General features: G+C 40.3%; 1 protein-coding gene across 53 annotated transcripts in view; it reads left to right on the top strand.

Annotated features, from left to right (window-relative positions):
* The window catches only part of STIL (STIL centriolar assembly protein), a 64,758-nt gene extending 51,006 nt beyond the window's left edge, over positions 1-13,752 (top strand). For 16 of the 53 annotated variants that reach the window (NM_001377417.1, XM_047428312.1, XM_047428368.1 and 13 more), the window contains 3 exons: positions 775-988; positions 3,352-3,602; positions 11,969-13,752. In NM_001377417.1, the coding sequence (NP_001364346.1) occupies positions 775-988; positions 3,352-3,602; positions 11,969-12,755 (1,252 nt within the window). In that variant the 3' untranslated portion in view covers positions 12,756-13,752. Of the gene's footprint in view, positions 1-774; positions 989-2,506; positions 2,629-3,351; positions 3,603-11,968 lie in introns of those variants that run through there. The other 37 variants (XM_017002123.1, NM_003035.2, XM_047428385.1 and 34 more) reach the window with 6 other exon arrangements.

Here is a 14,557-nt window from a genome sequence, read left to right as displayed (position 1 = left end):
ATCCCAGCTACTCAGGAGGCTGAGGCAGGAGAATCGCTTGAACCCAGAAGGCAGAGGTTACAGTCAGCCGAGATGACGCCACTACATTCCAGCCTGGGTGACATGGTGAGACTCTGTCTCAAAAAAAAAAAAAAAAAAAAAAAAAACTTGGAATGAACAAATAACATACCTAAAATATTTAAATGCTCTAAAAATTTCCATTGCCATCAAGTTCAGGAGAAATCAACAGCTTGTTTTCCAGGCTTCAAAGAAAGTTGTCTTAAATATAAGTAACACAAGTTAAAAGGTACCATGGTTTAGTTTATATGCAGCCTGTTAAAACGAGGTGTTTTCGTTTTTGTTTCTTATAGAAATAGGGTCTTGCTCTGATGCCTAGGCTGAGTGCAGTGGTACAATCATAGCTCACTGCAGCCTCGAATTCCTGGGCTAAGTGATCCTCTTGCTCAGCCTCCTGAGCAGCTAGGATTACAGGTGCATGGTGTCACACCCAGCTAATTAAAACAAATTTTTTGTGGAGATGGGGTCTCGATATATTCCCCAGTCTGATCTTGAACTTCTTACCTCAAACTTCTCTTGCCTTGCTCTCCCAAAACACAGATTACAGGCATGAGCCACTGCACCTGGCTAAGATGGGGTGTTTATGTAGCATCATCACTAAGAGCTAAAAATACAACCAGGTGCTGCTTGAGTCTTAACCCTTTTTTCTAAAGTTACTACATTTCAATTATATGTTAAAGGTACCTCAATGACTAACACATTATATATCCTTCCCAGCAGCTCTTCTCTAGTTGTGAGAAAAGAACCTGATGTACCTGTGTTCTTTCCAAGTGGCCAGCTGGCAGAAAGTGTAAGCATGTGTTTACAGACTGGACCAACAGGGGGTGCCAGTAACAATTCTGAAACATCAGAGGAACCAAAAATTGAGCATGTAATGCAACCCTTGCTTCATCAACCATCAGATAACCAGAAAATTTACCAGGATTTATTGGTAAGAAAATGTAGAGCATTTCATCTTTTTGAGAAGGTTATTTAGTATAGGATATACTAGTTAAGCTTTTCCTAGGTTTAAACTGATTGAGACCTTAAGATAAAAAGATTTTTTGTCTAATTAACAATGTAATTTTTCTTTTAGCTTTTCATAAATTATAACTTAAATTCACTAATTTACCATAAACATACTTAAGTACTTAGAAAAACACAGCTTTATTTTTAAAGTATAAATATTGATATTATGCCTAATTCAAACCAAAATTAGTATTAGAAAATAAGCAAGAGTTTCTCGGAAATTTGAAAATTGGAAAGTAGTGGGATATTTATGATAACATTTACTGATTTTAGTTCAGGTAAGCCAATGTTTATTAAATACTTAGCTTAGTCTAAGACAGTAGGCTAAGTGAAATCGATAATATAAAGGTGAATATGACACTCTGTGCCCTTGAGAGCCTAGGGGAAACAACAGCACATGCAGACTAGTAACAATTATAAGACAGGCTGTTGAGGAGTAGTAGTGTAAAGCAAAGAGAACACAGAATAAAGGGGTAATTCTGGTTGGAGGAACTAGTATTATAAAACTTAAAATGTGATCTGGGACTTAAAGGATAGAGAAACCCTGACTGTCACTTTCATCCAAATTGTAGAACATTTGATTTGTCCATTTGCGAGAAGGCAACATACTTCACAGGGCCCTATGTATTCATCAATGAACACATATTTGTTATTTGCTTGCTAGGTCCTAGGCTGGTGCTAGCAGCTTGTATGCTCAGGGAATGAAATATGCAGAAATAGTATCACAGGTCATTCTTACTTTGAGAAAGTGAGAAGAAAAGGAGCCTAACTCTGTGAACATCATAAAGGCCTAATTTATAACTGAAACATTATCACTTTGCAAACGAAAGCATTATTTAAAACTTGTTTATAAAAAATTTAGCATAAGTCCTCGAAAATACTTGGAGAATTACTCAAAAGATTTTTTTTTTTTTTTTTGAGACAGAGTCTCTGTCACCCAGGCTAGAGTGCAGTGACATGATCTCAGCTCACTGTAACCTCTGCCTCCCAGGTTCAAGCGATTCTTGTGCCTCAGCCTTCCAAGTAGCTGGGACTACAGGCACCTGCCACCATGCCTGGCTAATTTTTTTTTTTTTTTTTGAGACAGAGTCTCACTGTGTTTCTGTTGCCCAGGCTGGAATGCAGTGACATGATCTCAGCTTACTGCAGCTTCTGCCTCCCAGGTTCAAGTGATTCTCCTGCATCAGCCTTTCAAGTAGCTGGGACCACAGGTGCACGCCACCACACCCGGCTAATTTTTGTATTTTTAGCAGAGATGGGGTTTCACCATGTTAGCCAGGCTGGTCTTGAACTCCTGGCCTCAAGTGATCTGCCCGCCTTGGCCTCCCAAAGTGCTGGGATTACAGGTTTGAGCCACACGCCTGTACTCAAATGATTTTTAAATACGTTGGTTTTTATTTTTATTTGTTTATTTTCTATTTTATTTATTTATTTTTTTTAGACAGAGTCTCACTCTGTCACCCAGGCTGGAGTACAGTGGCGCCATCTCAGCTCTCTGCAACCTGGGCCTTCTGGGTTCAAGTGATTCTCATGCCTCAGCCTCCCAAATAGCCGGGACCACAGGTACGTGCCACCACACCCGGCTAATTTTTGTATTTTTATTAGAGACAGGGTTTCACCATGTTGGCTAGGCTGGTCTTGAACTCCTGACCTAAAGTGATCCGCCCACCTTGGCCTCCCAAAGTGCTGGGATTACAGGTGTGAGCCACCACGCCCAGCTTATGTTGGTTTTTAAGTGAATGAAGTCTGAACAAGCATTCTGTTTTCTCTAGGGTCTGATGAAATTGTTCATTAGGATGTGCTTCTATAAAAACTTCATAATACCTGCAAATAATACCATAATACCTGCCTACTTGATACTTTGTGGAATTTGACAAGATACTGATTTTCCCTGGCCTTGTTGTATCATTAAGGTCTTACTGTAAAATTGTTTTTTAACTTTTTTTTAATTTTAATTTTTTTAGAGACAGAGTCTCACTTTGTCACGCAGGATATAGTGGCACAATCACGGCTAACTGCAGCCTCAGCCTCGTGGCTCAAGTGGTCCTCCTACTTCAGCCTCCTAAGTAGCTGGAACTACAGGCGTGTGCCACCGTGCCCAGCTAATTTTTAGTTTTTTGTAGAGACAGGATCTCGCTGTGTTGCCCAGGGTCTTAAACTCCTGGGCTCAAGCGATCTTCCTGCCTTGGCTTCCCAAAGTGCTGGGATTATAGGTGTGAACCACCACACCCAGCCCTAACATTGTTAATAGTGATTTTTCAAAAAAATTTTTTTTCTTTTTGTCAGGGTCAAGTAAACCACCTATTAAATAGTTCCTCCAAGGAAACTGAGCAGCCGTCTACCAAAGCAGTAATTATCAGTCATGAATGCACCAGAACCCAAAACGTTTACCATACAAAGAAAAAAACACATCATTCAAGACTGGTGGACAAAGATTGTGTCCTTAATGCAACTCTTAAGCAACTAAGAAGCCTTGGAGTAAAAATTGATTCTCCCACTAAAGTGAAGAAAAATGCACATAACGTGGATCACGCCAGGTAACTTTTAAAATTTTGTTTTAAAGAGTGAATAAATTTTATTTTTTAAAAATTTTTATTTATTTTTGCCCATCATTGGCTAGATGAATAAATTTTAGATGTATTGTGGCAATCTCATCAGAAAAGTTACGTTTGTGCCTCAATTGAGTTGATTCACGATTTATTCAGGGCCTACCATATGCATGATGAATAAGAGATTCTTCATTTTAGTGGGAGAGAGGGTTACATACATAAGTAATTTGAGAGATATTGTGGGATGACTCCTGGCTGGATAGGCCAACAAAATACTTTAGGAGTCTTGAGGAAAGAGAAAGGAGTTTTGCTTGGTAGCATCTGAAAAGTCTTTCTGGAGGTGATAAGGTCTGTTCCAGCTACTGGATGTACAGTTACACAGTCGTGCCATCTAAAAAGCAAAAATATTTCTTTTTTCTGGGAATGTGCCCAACTGGTCATGTCCTTCTGTTCAGATTCCTTTCTACCAAAGATGACCTCAGCACATAACTTATTAAAAAGAAAATAAAGTCTGGAGATTATATTATTAAGGCTGGCATATTTTCTGTTAATTATTTTTTGTTTTCTAATTTAAAAAGTAATAAAAATTCATGGTTTTAAAAAACAATACAGAAGAGAGTGTAAGATAAAATGCAAAAGCCACAACTCCCCACATTCCTGCCTGACTCTTCCAAAGTTACTTCTCTTAGGCCGGGCGCGGTGGCTCACGCCTGTAATCCCAGCACTTTGCAGGGCTGAGGCAGGTGAATCATGAGGTCAGGAGTTCGAGACCAGCCTGGCCAAGATGGTGAAACCCCGTCTCTACTAAAAATACAAAAATTAGATGGGTGCGGTGGCGGGCGCCTGTAATCTCAGCTACTTGGGAGGCTGAGGCAAGAGAATTGCCTGAACCCGGGGAGGCAGAGGTCGCAGTGAGCCGAGATAGCGCCACTGCACTCTATCTAGCCTGGACGACAGAGCAAGACTCAGTCAAAAAAAAAAAAAAAAAAAAGGCCGGGCGCGGTACCTCACACCTGTAATCCCAGCACTTTGGGAAGCCGAGGTGGGCGGATCACGAGGTCAGGAGATCAAGACCATTCTGGCTAACACGGTGAAACCCCGTCTCTACTAAAAATACAAAAAATTAGCTGAGCGTGGTGGTGGGCGCCTGTAGTCCCAGCTACTCAGGAGGCTGAGGCACGAGAATGGCGTGAACCCAGGAGGCAGAGCTTGCAGTGAGCCGAGATTGCGCCACTGCACTCCAGCTTGGATAGCAAAGCAAGACTGTCTCAAAAAAAAAAAAAAGCAAAGTTACTTCTCTTAACCATTTCTTTTGTATTCTAGAAATGTTCCATGCATGTTCAAGTATATGTGTATGTGATAAGCTTTGTGATTTGATTTTTTGTTGTTGTTGCTGTTGTTTTAATTTTGAGACAGTCTCGCTCTGTCACCCAGGCTGGAGTGCAGTGGCATGATCACAGCTCACTGCAGCCTCAACCTCCTGGACTCAAGTGAGCCTCCCATCTCAGCCTTTTGAGTAGCTGGCACTACAGGCTTGCACCAGTACTTAGCTAATTTTTTATTTTTTGCAGAGATGGTGTCTTGCTATGTTGCCCAGTCTGGTCTCAGACAAACTCTTAGACTCAAGCAATCTTCCCACCTTGGCCTCCCAAAGTGCTAGGATTACAGCCGTGAGCCACTGCACCTGGCCTGTTTTTTTGTTTTTGTTTTAAACATGATATTATAATATCTTGGATACTTTTCCTTATAGGGATATACAGTTCTTTCTCTTGTATTTAAACAGCTGCATAATATTCTTTTGTACCCTTGTACTAGAATATATTGAACCCCAGTGCTCTATTAATGGACCTTTAGGCCAAATCTCTTATTTGTTATTTCAAGCAATCCTAAGTGAACATCATTCTACAGGTACAAGTATCTTTGTAGGATAAATTCCTAGATAGGCAGGATCAAAGAGTATGTGCATTCAAAGTCTTAGTAGATGCTACCATTGCTCATCAAATAGTTGTACCAGTTTATATTCCTACCAATAGTGTAAAAGAGTGAGGCTAGCATTTTTGAGTTTTTTATCCATGTTGCAAGATAGAGGCTATGTATCCTAACCCTTCCCCTCTTGTCAGAACTGAGAACCAACTTGTCACGTTAGTTGTGGTTTCTTACTATTTTAATGTTGCTGTGATGATCTTTTGCAAATATTGCTTTTCAGTTTTAGGATTATTTCCTTAGAATAGAATCTCGGAAATGGAAAGACTAAGGTAAAATGATACAAAAATTTTAAAGCTGTTGCTAAGTTGCTTTCTGAAAGAGTAAGTATTATTACCAGCTACACATATACATGTGTGCCAGCTACCATTTCACCAATACATTCACTTCAACAAATACTTACTGAGTTTCTATGAGCCAGCCTATAAGAGATATCGTAATACACAAGATAACCTGATAAAGAAAGACATCTTTGTTCTCATAGAGTTTACAGTTCAGTGGGGAAGACACAGATAGTCAATATCTTTTATGCCTGCTATGAAATGGAAGGATAGGGAATGCCATGGAATCACATAGGAAAGGTAGCTAACTTAATTTATAAAGGAAAGGAAAAAAGAAAGGTAGCTAACTTTAGGAGTATTTCATACTGTGTTGTAATTGATCTACATCAAAATGGCCCCTTTTAAAGATCTGTACTAATTAAGACCAAAAATATCTTAAAGTTTTGAAAGTTATATTTTATTATTGATGCAATATCTGTATATTTAAAACTTTTTTTTAGTTTTTAAAAATAGGATCTTGCTCTGTCACCCAGGCCTGTCACCCAGGCTGGAGTATGATGGTACAATCATAATTTATGTAACCTCAAACTCCTGGGCTGAAGCCAATCCTCCTGCCTCAGCTTTTTGAGTAGCTGGGACCACAGGCGTGTGCCATCATCTCTATGTCATTTTGATTAAATAGGAAACTGTACTGCAATAGTTTCTCCAACATAAGAGTTAAATTTAGTTTCCCTGTTATCTTAGGCTCCGTCTGGAATATCCTCCCAGCCTATCTGAGGCCTACCTGATTAATTCGCATTGTTTCAGTTTGACTTAAACTTAGTTTTTTAGTATAATGTCCTACCATTCTCTACCAAGTTCCAGCCTACTTGCCATTGGCATTTGCAAGATTCCTTGATGTTACTTTTATCTGAGGTGCTCTTTTTTTTTACCTTTCTGCTTGCCAAAATCCTTATCCTTCAAAGCTGAACTCAAATGTCACCTCTTTGGTCAGTTTCCTGGACCTCTCAGAGTGTATTGATGTTTTGTACTCTTATTGCCCAGGCTGGAGTGCAGTGGCATGATCTGGGCTCACCATAACCTTCACCTCCCGGCTTCAAGTGATTTCTCCTGCCTCAGCCTTCCTGAGTAGCTGGGATTACAGGCATGCGCCACCATGCCCGGCTAATTTTGTACTTTTAGTAGAGACAGGGTTTCTCCATGTTAGTCAGGCTGGTCTCGAACTCCCAACCTCAGATGATCCACCTGCCTCGGCCTCCCAAAGTGCTGGGATTACAGGCGTGAGCCACCGTGCCTGGCCGATGTTTTGTACTCTTAAAATACCTCGTTCTCAGTAAATTGTAGCATGTACTTATGACACATTTTCAGCAAGATTTTTTTTTTTTTTTTTTTGAGATGGAGTCTCGCTCTGTCGCCCAGGCTGGAGTGTAGTGGCATGATCTTGGCTCACTGCAACCTCCGCCCCCCAGGTTCAAGCAATTCTTCTGCCTCCGCCTCCTGAGTAGCTGGGACTACAGGTGCGCACCACCACGCCCAGCTAAGTTTTGTGTTTTTAGTAGAGACGGGGTTTCACTATATTGGCCAGGCTAGTCTCAAACTCCTGACCTTGTGATCTGCCAGTCTCGGCCTCCCAAAGTGCTGGGATTGCAGGCATGAGCCACTGCTCCAGCGAAGATTTTATATAGTTCTAAATCCTCATTGCCTCTACCACTAACTTAGTGGGCCTTCAATGAGTCATTTGCTGAATGAACGACATTCCTCCTACTCAGGTCATCACCGACGCTTACAGTGAAGGTTCATTTTTAGTGTCTTTGTAGTATTTACTGTCAGTATTTATAATCTTATATTGTTAACTTTTTAACATGTGTAGGTATAATATAACTGGTATACTAAAAGTTTATAAGGCCGTTGTTTAGAATGTAAGACACATTTTTCTATAGAAACAGTGTTACAGATTATAGGTTGAATATTCTAGGAAACTAATCCTTATAATCCATGCTGTTCCTCTAGCTCTGTAAATCAGCCGTCTTTTATCATTGTGTCTATGTGAAAACTCATTTCATGTTCCAGTTCTGGACTCCAGGAGCACATCATTCCGCCAGAAGAGTGGCTAAGGCAGGGGAAGGAAGACCTGCTTTCTATTTTCCTGTTAATAGAATGCCGCAGAGATTAAGAGAGTCTAAAGGCAGGAAGGCAGGGAAAAAGGGTGCCAGACAAACCTAGAAATTGTGCAGGAAATGGAGATTGTGGGTTCGAGGTCTGGAAGCAACCTCTACATATTCCCAATTGGAGTGACTTTTTGAATTCAAAACCTGTCTCAAGTAGTCTCTCTAGTTGCTTCTTTACCTTGCTTCCTGGCTATCTGCTTAGTAGTTGAAAAACTGTGTAGGATAAGTAGTAGATAACTAATCTGGATTCAAATAGGATCATGAATCAAAGTTGACTTTTTTTTTTTTTTTTTTGAGAGACAGGGTCTCGCTCTGTTGCCCAGGCTGCAGTGCAGTGGCACAATCATGGCTCAACTGCAGCCTCAATCTCCTGGGCTCAAGTGATCCTCCCACTTTAGCTTCCTGAGTAGCTGGGACTACAGGTGTGCAGCAGCACACCCAGCTTATTTTTATTTGTAGAGATGGGGGTCTTGATTGTCATCTGAGTTGGAATAATTTTAGAGCTTCCCATAAATTGTTGACATGTGGCTAACTCAAATTTATTCATGGACTTTCATCATTCCTTGTGGCTGCACATCTAATGAGATTTTAACATAGGCATATATTTGTGCTCAGGCTTTTAGGATTTGATTAGTGGAATGGGTTCCTTTTTGCTTTTCGTCTTAATTACCCTAGTGTTTATATGCTTTGGTTTCTGAGTATTATTGATTTTTTTTTTAGTGATGTGGTCTCTATTTTGCCTAGGGTGGCCCCTTGAATGCCTGGGCTTAAGCAATCCTCCTGCCTCAGGCTCCTGAGAAGCTAGGACTACAGGTGTGCATACCACTGTGCCTGTCTTGATTTGTTTTGCTATTAAAGTAATGATATCTCATTGCCCCTAGCCCACCCTCCAAATTGAAATTGGCTAGCTTGTGTTAGGCATTGAAACTTGAATAGCCTTCTAAACTGATATTGACTACTTTATGGATCTTTTAACCATTCTATAAAAGAAGCCCTAGTTAAAATTAAGAGGCTGGGCATGGTGTCTCATGCCTGTTATCCCAGCACTTTGGGAGGCCAAGATGGGAGGATCACTGGAGCTCAGGAGTTCAAGACCAGCCTGAACAACATAGTGAGACCCCATCTTTACAAAAAGAAAAATTTTTGATTAGCTGGGCATGGTGGCATGCACCTGTAGTCCCAGCTACTTGGGAGGCTGAGGTAGGAGGGTCACTTGAGTCTGGGAGGTCGATGCCATGGTGAGCCATGATTGCGCCACTGCACTCCAGCCTTAGTGGCAGAGTGAGACCTTGTCTCAAAAAAAACAAAAAAAAAACCCAAATTAGACCTGCTTTCTTTAAATATTTAACATTTTGAATTAGTAGTTTTTCTTTGCTTTTATCAAATTATTTACATTAACATTATCTATAGACTGAGGAAATAGGCAAAGTAGAAAAAGACTTCCAAAAGTATTGTCACTATGAATAAAAGAATAATGTCTGGATAAATTAGTAGTATCTCTTTCATCTTATTAAAATAGTCTTCAAAGCATTAAATGCCAAGAAGATTAAGGGAGAATTTCAAGGTTGTAAAGACCAGCATTAGTGAGCACACTGTTCCATTGTTTGGTGATGGCATCACTGGTTTCAGAGAATTTTTTTTTTTTTTTTTTTTTTTTTTTTTTTGAGACAGAGTCTCACTCTGTCACCTAGGCTGGAATGCAGTGACGCAATCTCGGCTCACTGCAACCTCCGCCTCCTGTGTTTAACCGATTCTCCTGTCTCAGCCTACAGAGTAGCTGGGATTACAGGCACCCGCCACCACGCCCAGCTAATTTTTTTGTATTTTTAGTAGAGACGGGGTTTTGCCATGTTGGCCAGGTTGGTCTCAAACTCCTGACCTCAGGTGATCTGCTCACCTCGGCCTCCCAAAGTGCTGGGATTACAGGCGGGAGCCACCATGCCTGGCCTGGTTTCAGGGATTATTAGTGGTTGGAAATAGTTTTTTGCGAATTTCAGGTGCTTATAAGAATGAAAATATATAATGGTTGTTTGATTTTTGTGGGTCTGTGAATGCAAGCAGTGGCTAGCACATATAAAACAGCTGAATTTCTTCATGGGATGATGTAGAAAGCCATAGCATATTTGACTAGAATATAATGTTCACCACAACAAATAGTGCACAAAGGACTCTGATAGAAAAAATCCAAGTTACTGAATATAGTACAGTAAAAGAGTGGTTGCAGAGCCCCAGAGAGTAAGGCAGTCATGGATTATCTCAGCTTGCTATGTACTATTTAGCTTGGAAAAAATAGCTCAAATCTCTATTCCTCAGTTTTCTCAACTGAGAGTAAATATAACAATAGTACCTACTACTTTTATTCATTCAACAAGTACTTACTGAGTGCCTACTATGTGTGTCCAGGCATCGAGGATACTGCAGTGGGGGCCAGGAGAACAGACAAAACTCTGTCCTTATTGGCTTTCATGAGGGTGCTAGACAATAAATAAGAATCGAGCATTGATTGAATATGTAGATGTGTGTATTCAATGTATAGACCGCGGTAAGTGCTAAAAAGAAAACAAAAAAGTAGGGGAAAGGGAATGTAAGATGTTGAAATGGAGAATAAGATAGAAATATTCCATAGAGAATACCTCCCTGACAAAGGTTACTGTAAGGAATGTATATGAATAATGCATGTAAAGCATTAATAGAGTACCTGGCATATATAACGACTCAGTAATTAGCAGGCTGGGTACAGTGGCTCACGCCTGTAATCCCAACACTTTTGGGAATTCGAGGAGGGAGGCTCGCTTTACCTCAGGAGTTTGAGAGCAGCCTGAGTCTGTAATTGTGCCAACATTAGCAAATGACATGCAGTTGCCACTGTACTCTAGACTGGGCAACAGAGCAAGACCCTGTCTCCAAAAAAAAAAATTAGCAGCTATTTATTATATATGTGATATTAAGGAAAAGGTAAGTCAGTTGACTTAACACTAATCAAAGTAAGTTGAAGATTATAACTAATGAAAAAAGTATTCGTGTGTGTGTGTGTGTGTGTGTGTGTGTGTGTGTGTGTGTGTGTGTATAAGCCCATATCCAGAGACTGGTTGATGTTTTTTATTAATTGCAAATGGAATCTCTTCAACTATGAACAATTTAATTTTCTGAGCTACTTACTAAAGCTTGTACTGTTATATAATCAAATGTGTTTTGTGTTTGATTTTATTTTTATGTTTTACTTTACATTAAACATTAGCTGATCTCTTGTGCTGTTTGGGCTAATAGTCGTAAATTAAATGACTCATAGCTATGTTGATGACTTTTACATTTGGGGCCTTGTATTTGTTCTTAAAACCATGACTGATATACAGATTTAGGAAAATTAATTTGTATTCCACTTTAAACCTGTAAATCATGGATTACCTTCTAGGCTATTATTTGTATCCCTTTTTTTATTTTTTCTTTATTTTTTCTTTTTTAAGAGACAGGGTCTTGTTCTGTTGCCCAGGCTGGAGTGCAGTGGCACGATCATGGCTCACTGTAACTTTGAACTCTTGAGCTCAAGCAATCCTCCTGCCTCAGCCTCTTGAGTAGTTGGGACTATAAATGTGCACCACCATGCCTGGCCAATTTTTAAATTTTTTTGTAGAGACAAGATCTTGCTATATTGCCTAGGCTGATCTTGAACTCCTGGCTTCAAGCAATCCTCCCACCTCAGTGCCCCAATCTGCTGGGATTGGAGGCTTGGGCCACTATACCCAGCCCATATGTATCCTTTGTGTATCTGGATCATCAAGACTTAGATGTCTGAGTAGTTAGATAAAAGGACCATGAACTTAAAGCTGAAGATCTTTTGTTGCTTGTATAGAATGGAACACATTGAGAACTATGTATTACTTAGAATATGGTAAATGATGGCTTACTACTTTGTGTCTTTCAGTGTGTTGGCATGCATCAGCCCAGAAGCAGTGATCTCTGGATTAAACTGCATGTCATTTGCTAATGTTGGCATGAGCGGCTTAAGCCCCAATGGTGTGGATTTGAGCATGGAGGCAAATGCTATAGCTCTGAAATATTTAAATGAAAATCAGCTGTCACAACTGTCTGTCACTCGATCGAACCAAAATAATTGTGACCCATTCAGCCTTCTCCATATTAATACAGACAGAAGCACAGTGGGGCTTAGTTTAATTTCACCAAACAACATGTCATTTGCAACCAAAAAATATATGAAGAGATATGGACTCCTACAAAGCAGTGACAATAGTGAAGATGAAGAGGAACCTCCCGACAATGCAGATAGCAAGAGTGAATATTTATTGAATCAGAACCTTAGGTCCATACCTGAACAGCTTGGTGGTCAGAAAGAGCCTTCTAAGAATGACCATGAAATAATTAATTGTTCTAACTGTGAATCTGTGGGGACCAACGCAGATACGCCAGTATTGAGAAATATTACAAATGAAGTTTTGCAGACAAAAGCAAAACAGCAGTTGACTGAAAAGCCAGCTTTCTTAGTAAAGAACCTTAAACCAAGTCCTGCAGTGAACCTTCGAACCGGGAAAGCAGAGTTCACTCAACATCCTGAGAAAGAAAATGAAGGGGACATTACAATTTTTCCTGAAAGTTTGCAACCTTCTGAAACGCTAAAGCAGATGAATAGCATGAATTCAGTAGGCACCTTCTTAGATGTAAAACGTCTCAGACAGTTACCAAAATTATTTTAACCTTTTAACTCCCTGCCCTTTTAATACAGGGACAGGGTGTCTCCTGAAGATACTTAGGGAAAACAGGAGCCTACCACAAGGCTCCTGATCATTCTGGAGTCACTGTTTCTTGGTAGCAGCCAATTGGGAAGAGTGACTTCTGTGAGATGGCTGGCTGGTGATAGGACTAAGTTCTCATTGTTCAAATAGAGCTGTTCAACATCACTGAAACCTTTAAGAAAAGCCCTGAGATCAGTTATTCCTACAAGTTTAAGTAGTAGACAGATACTATCCAGCTCTAAGTCTCAACTGCTCTTTTATACTGTACTTTTTTTTTTGAGACGGAGTTTTGCTCTTGTAGCCCAGGCTGGAGTGCAATGGCAGGATCTCAGATCACTGCAACCTCTGCCTCCTGGGTTCAAGCGATTTTCCTGCTTCATCTTCCCAGGTAGCTGGGATTACAGGCATGTGCCACAACGCCTGGCTAATTTTGTATTTTTAGTAGAGACTGGTTTCTCCATGTTGGTCAGGCTGGTCTCAAACTCCCGACCTCAGGTGATCCGCCCGCCTCGGCCTCCTAAAGTGCTGGGATTACAGGCGTGAGCCACTGCGCCCAGCTATACTGTATATTTTAAGAAGTTCCAGCATGTTGCATCTCTGCATTTATCCTATATCATTAAAAGAACATAAGTTATCATGGTGTTGGGTAAATTAGCGAAATCAACCCTTCCTAAGTTTAAGGGAAAAGTTATTTTTAAAAACAACTTAATAAAAACTTACACTCTTTTATACAAGAGTGTATTTCCCCTTAATTAGGATGCATGTTGATTAAACTCGAGATACAGCTTTTTGCAGTATGGTGGGTTGGTTTTGGTGTAACATCTTCAACATGTCACACTGGCTATCAAAGAATAAGAAAATTATTGAGTATGAGTGTGTTTTATAAACTTTCTGAGTTTTTCAGATGTCTTAATATTTTTTAATAGAACTTAATAAAATGTCTAGATTGACTATTTTCCTTTGTTGTCTGTTATAGTTTATTCTCCACTTTTTAAAAAACTCTTAGACTGCCCCCAAATTACAAAAATAATACAGAGAGTTCCCGTATACCCTTCTTCCAGTGTCCTCCAGTGATAATATCTTACATAAGCATAGTAAATGAGCAAAACCAAGCAATTGACATTGGCTATAATGCTAATAACTGAACCACAGACCTATCAGGTTTCACAAGTGTTTACATGCACTCATTTATTTACTTTTTGGTATATAGCTTTATGAAATTTTATCTTTTTTTTCTTCTTCGAGATGGAGTCTTGCTCTGTTGCCCAGGATGGAGTACAGTGGCGTGATCTTGGCTCACAGCATCTTCTATCTCCTGGGTTCAAGTGATTCTTGTGCCTCAGCCTCCCGAGTAGCTTGGATTACAGGCATACACCACCACGCCTGGCTAATTTTTATAGTTTCAGTAGAGATGGGGTTTCACCTTGTTGGCCAGGCTGGTCTCAAACTCCTGATCTCAAGTAATCTGCCCACTCTGCCTCCCAAAGTTCTGGGATTACAGGCATGGGCCACCGCTCCCAGCCATGAAATTTTATCTTTTGAGACGGAGTCTTGCTCTGTTGCCCAGGCTGGAGTGCAGTGGTGCGACCTTGGCTCACTGCAACCTCTGCTTCCCGGATTCTAGTGATTCTCCTGCCTCAGCCTCCCAAGTAGCTGGAACTACAGGTGCATGCCACCACACCTGGCTAATTTTTGTATTTTTAGTAGAGACAGAGTTTCACCATGTTGGCCAGTCTGGCCTCAAACTCCTGACCTCGTGATCT

Source organism: Homo sapiens, chromosome 1 (genome assembly GCF_000001405.40).
Source record: "Homo sapiens chromosome 1, GRCh38.p14 Primary Assembly".
Classification (NCBI taxonomy): Eukaryota; Metazoa; Chordata; class Mammalia; order Primates; family Hominidae; genus Homo; species Homo sapiens.
This window is presented reverse-complemented; position numbering and strand designations above follow the sequence as displayed.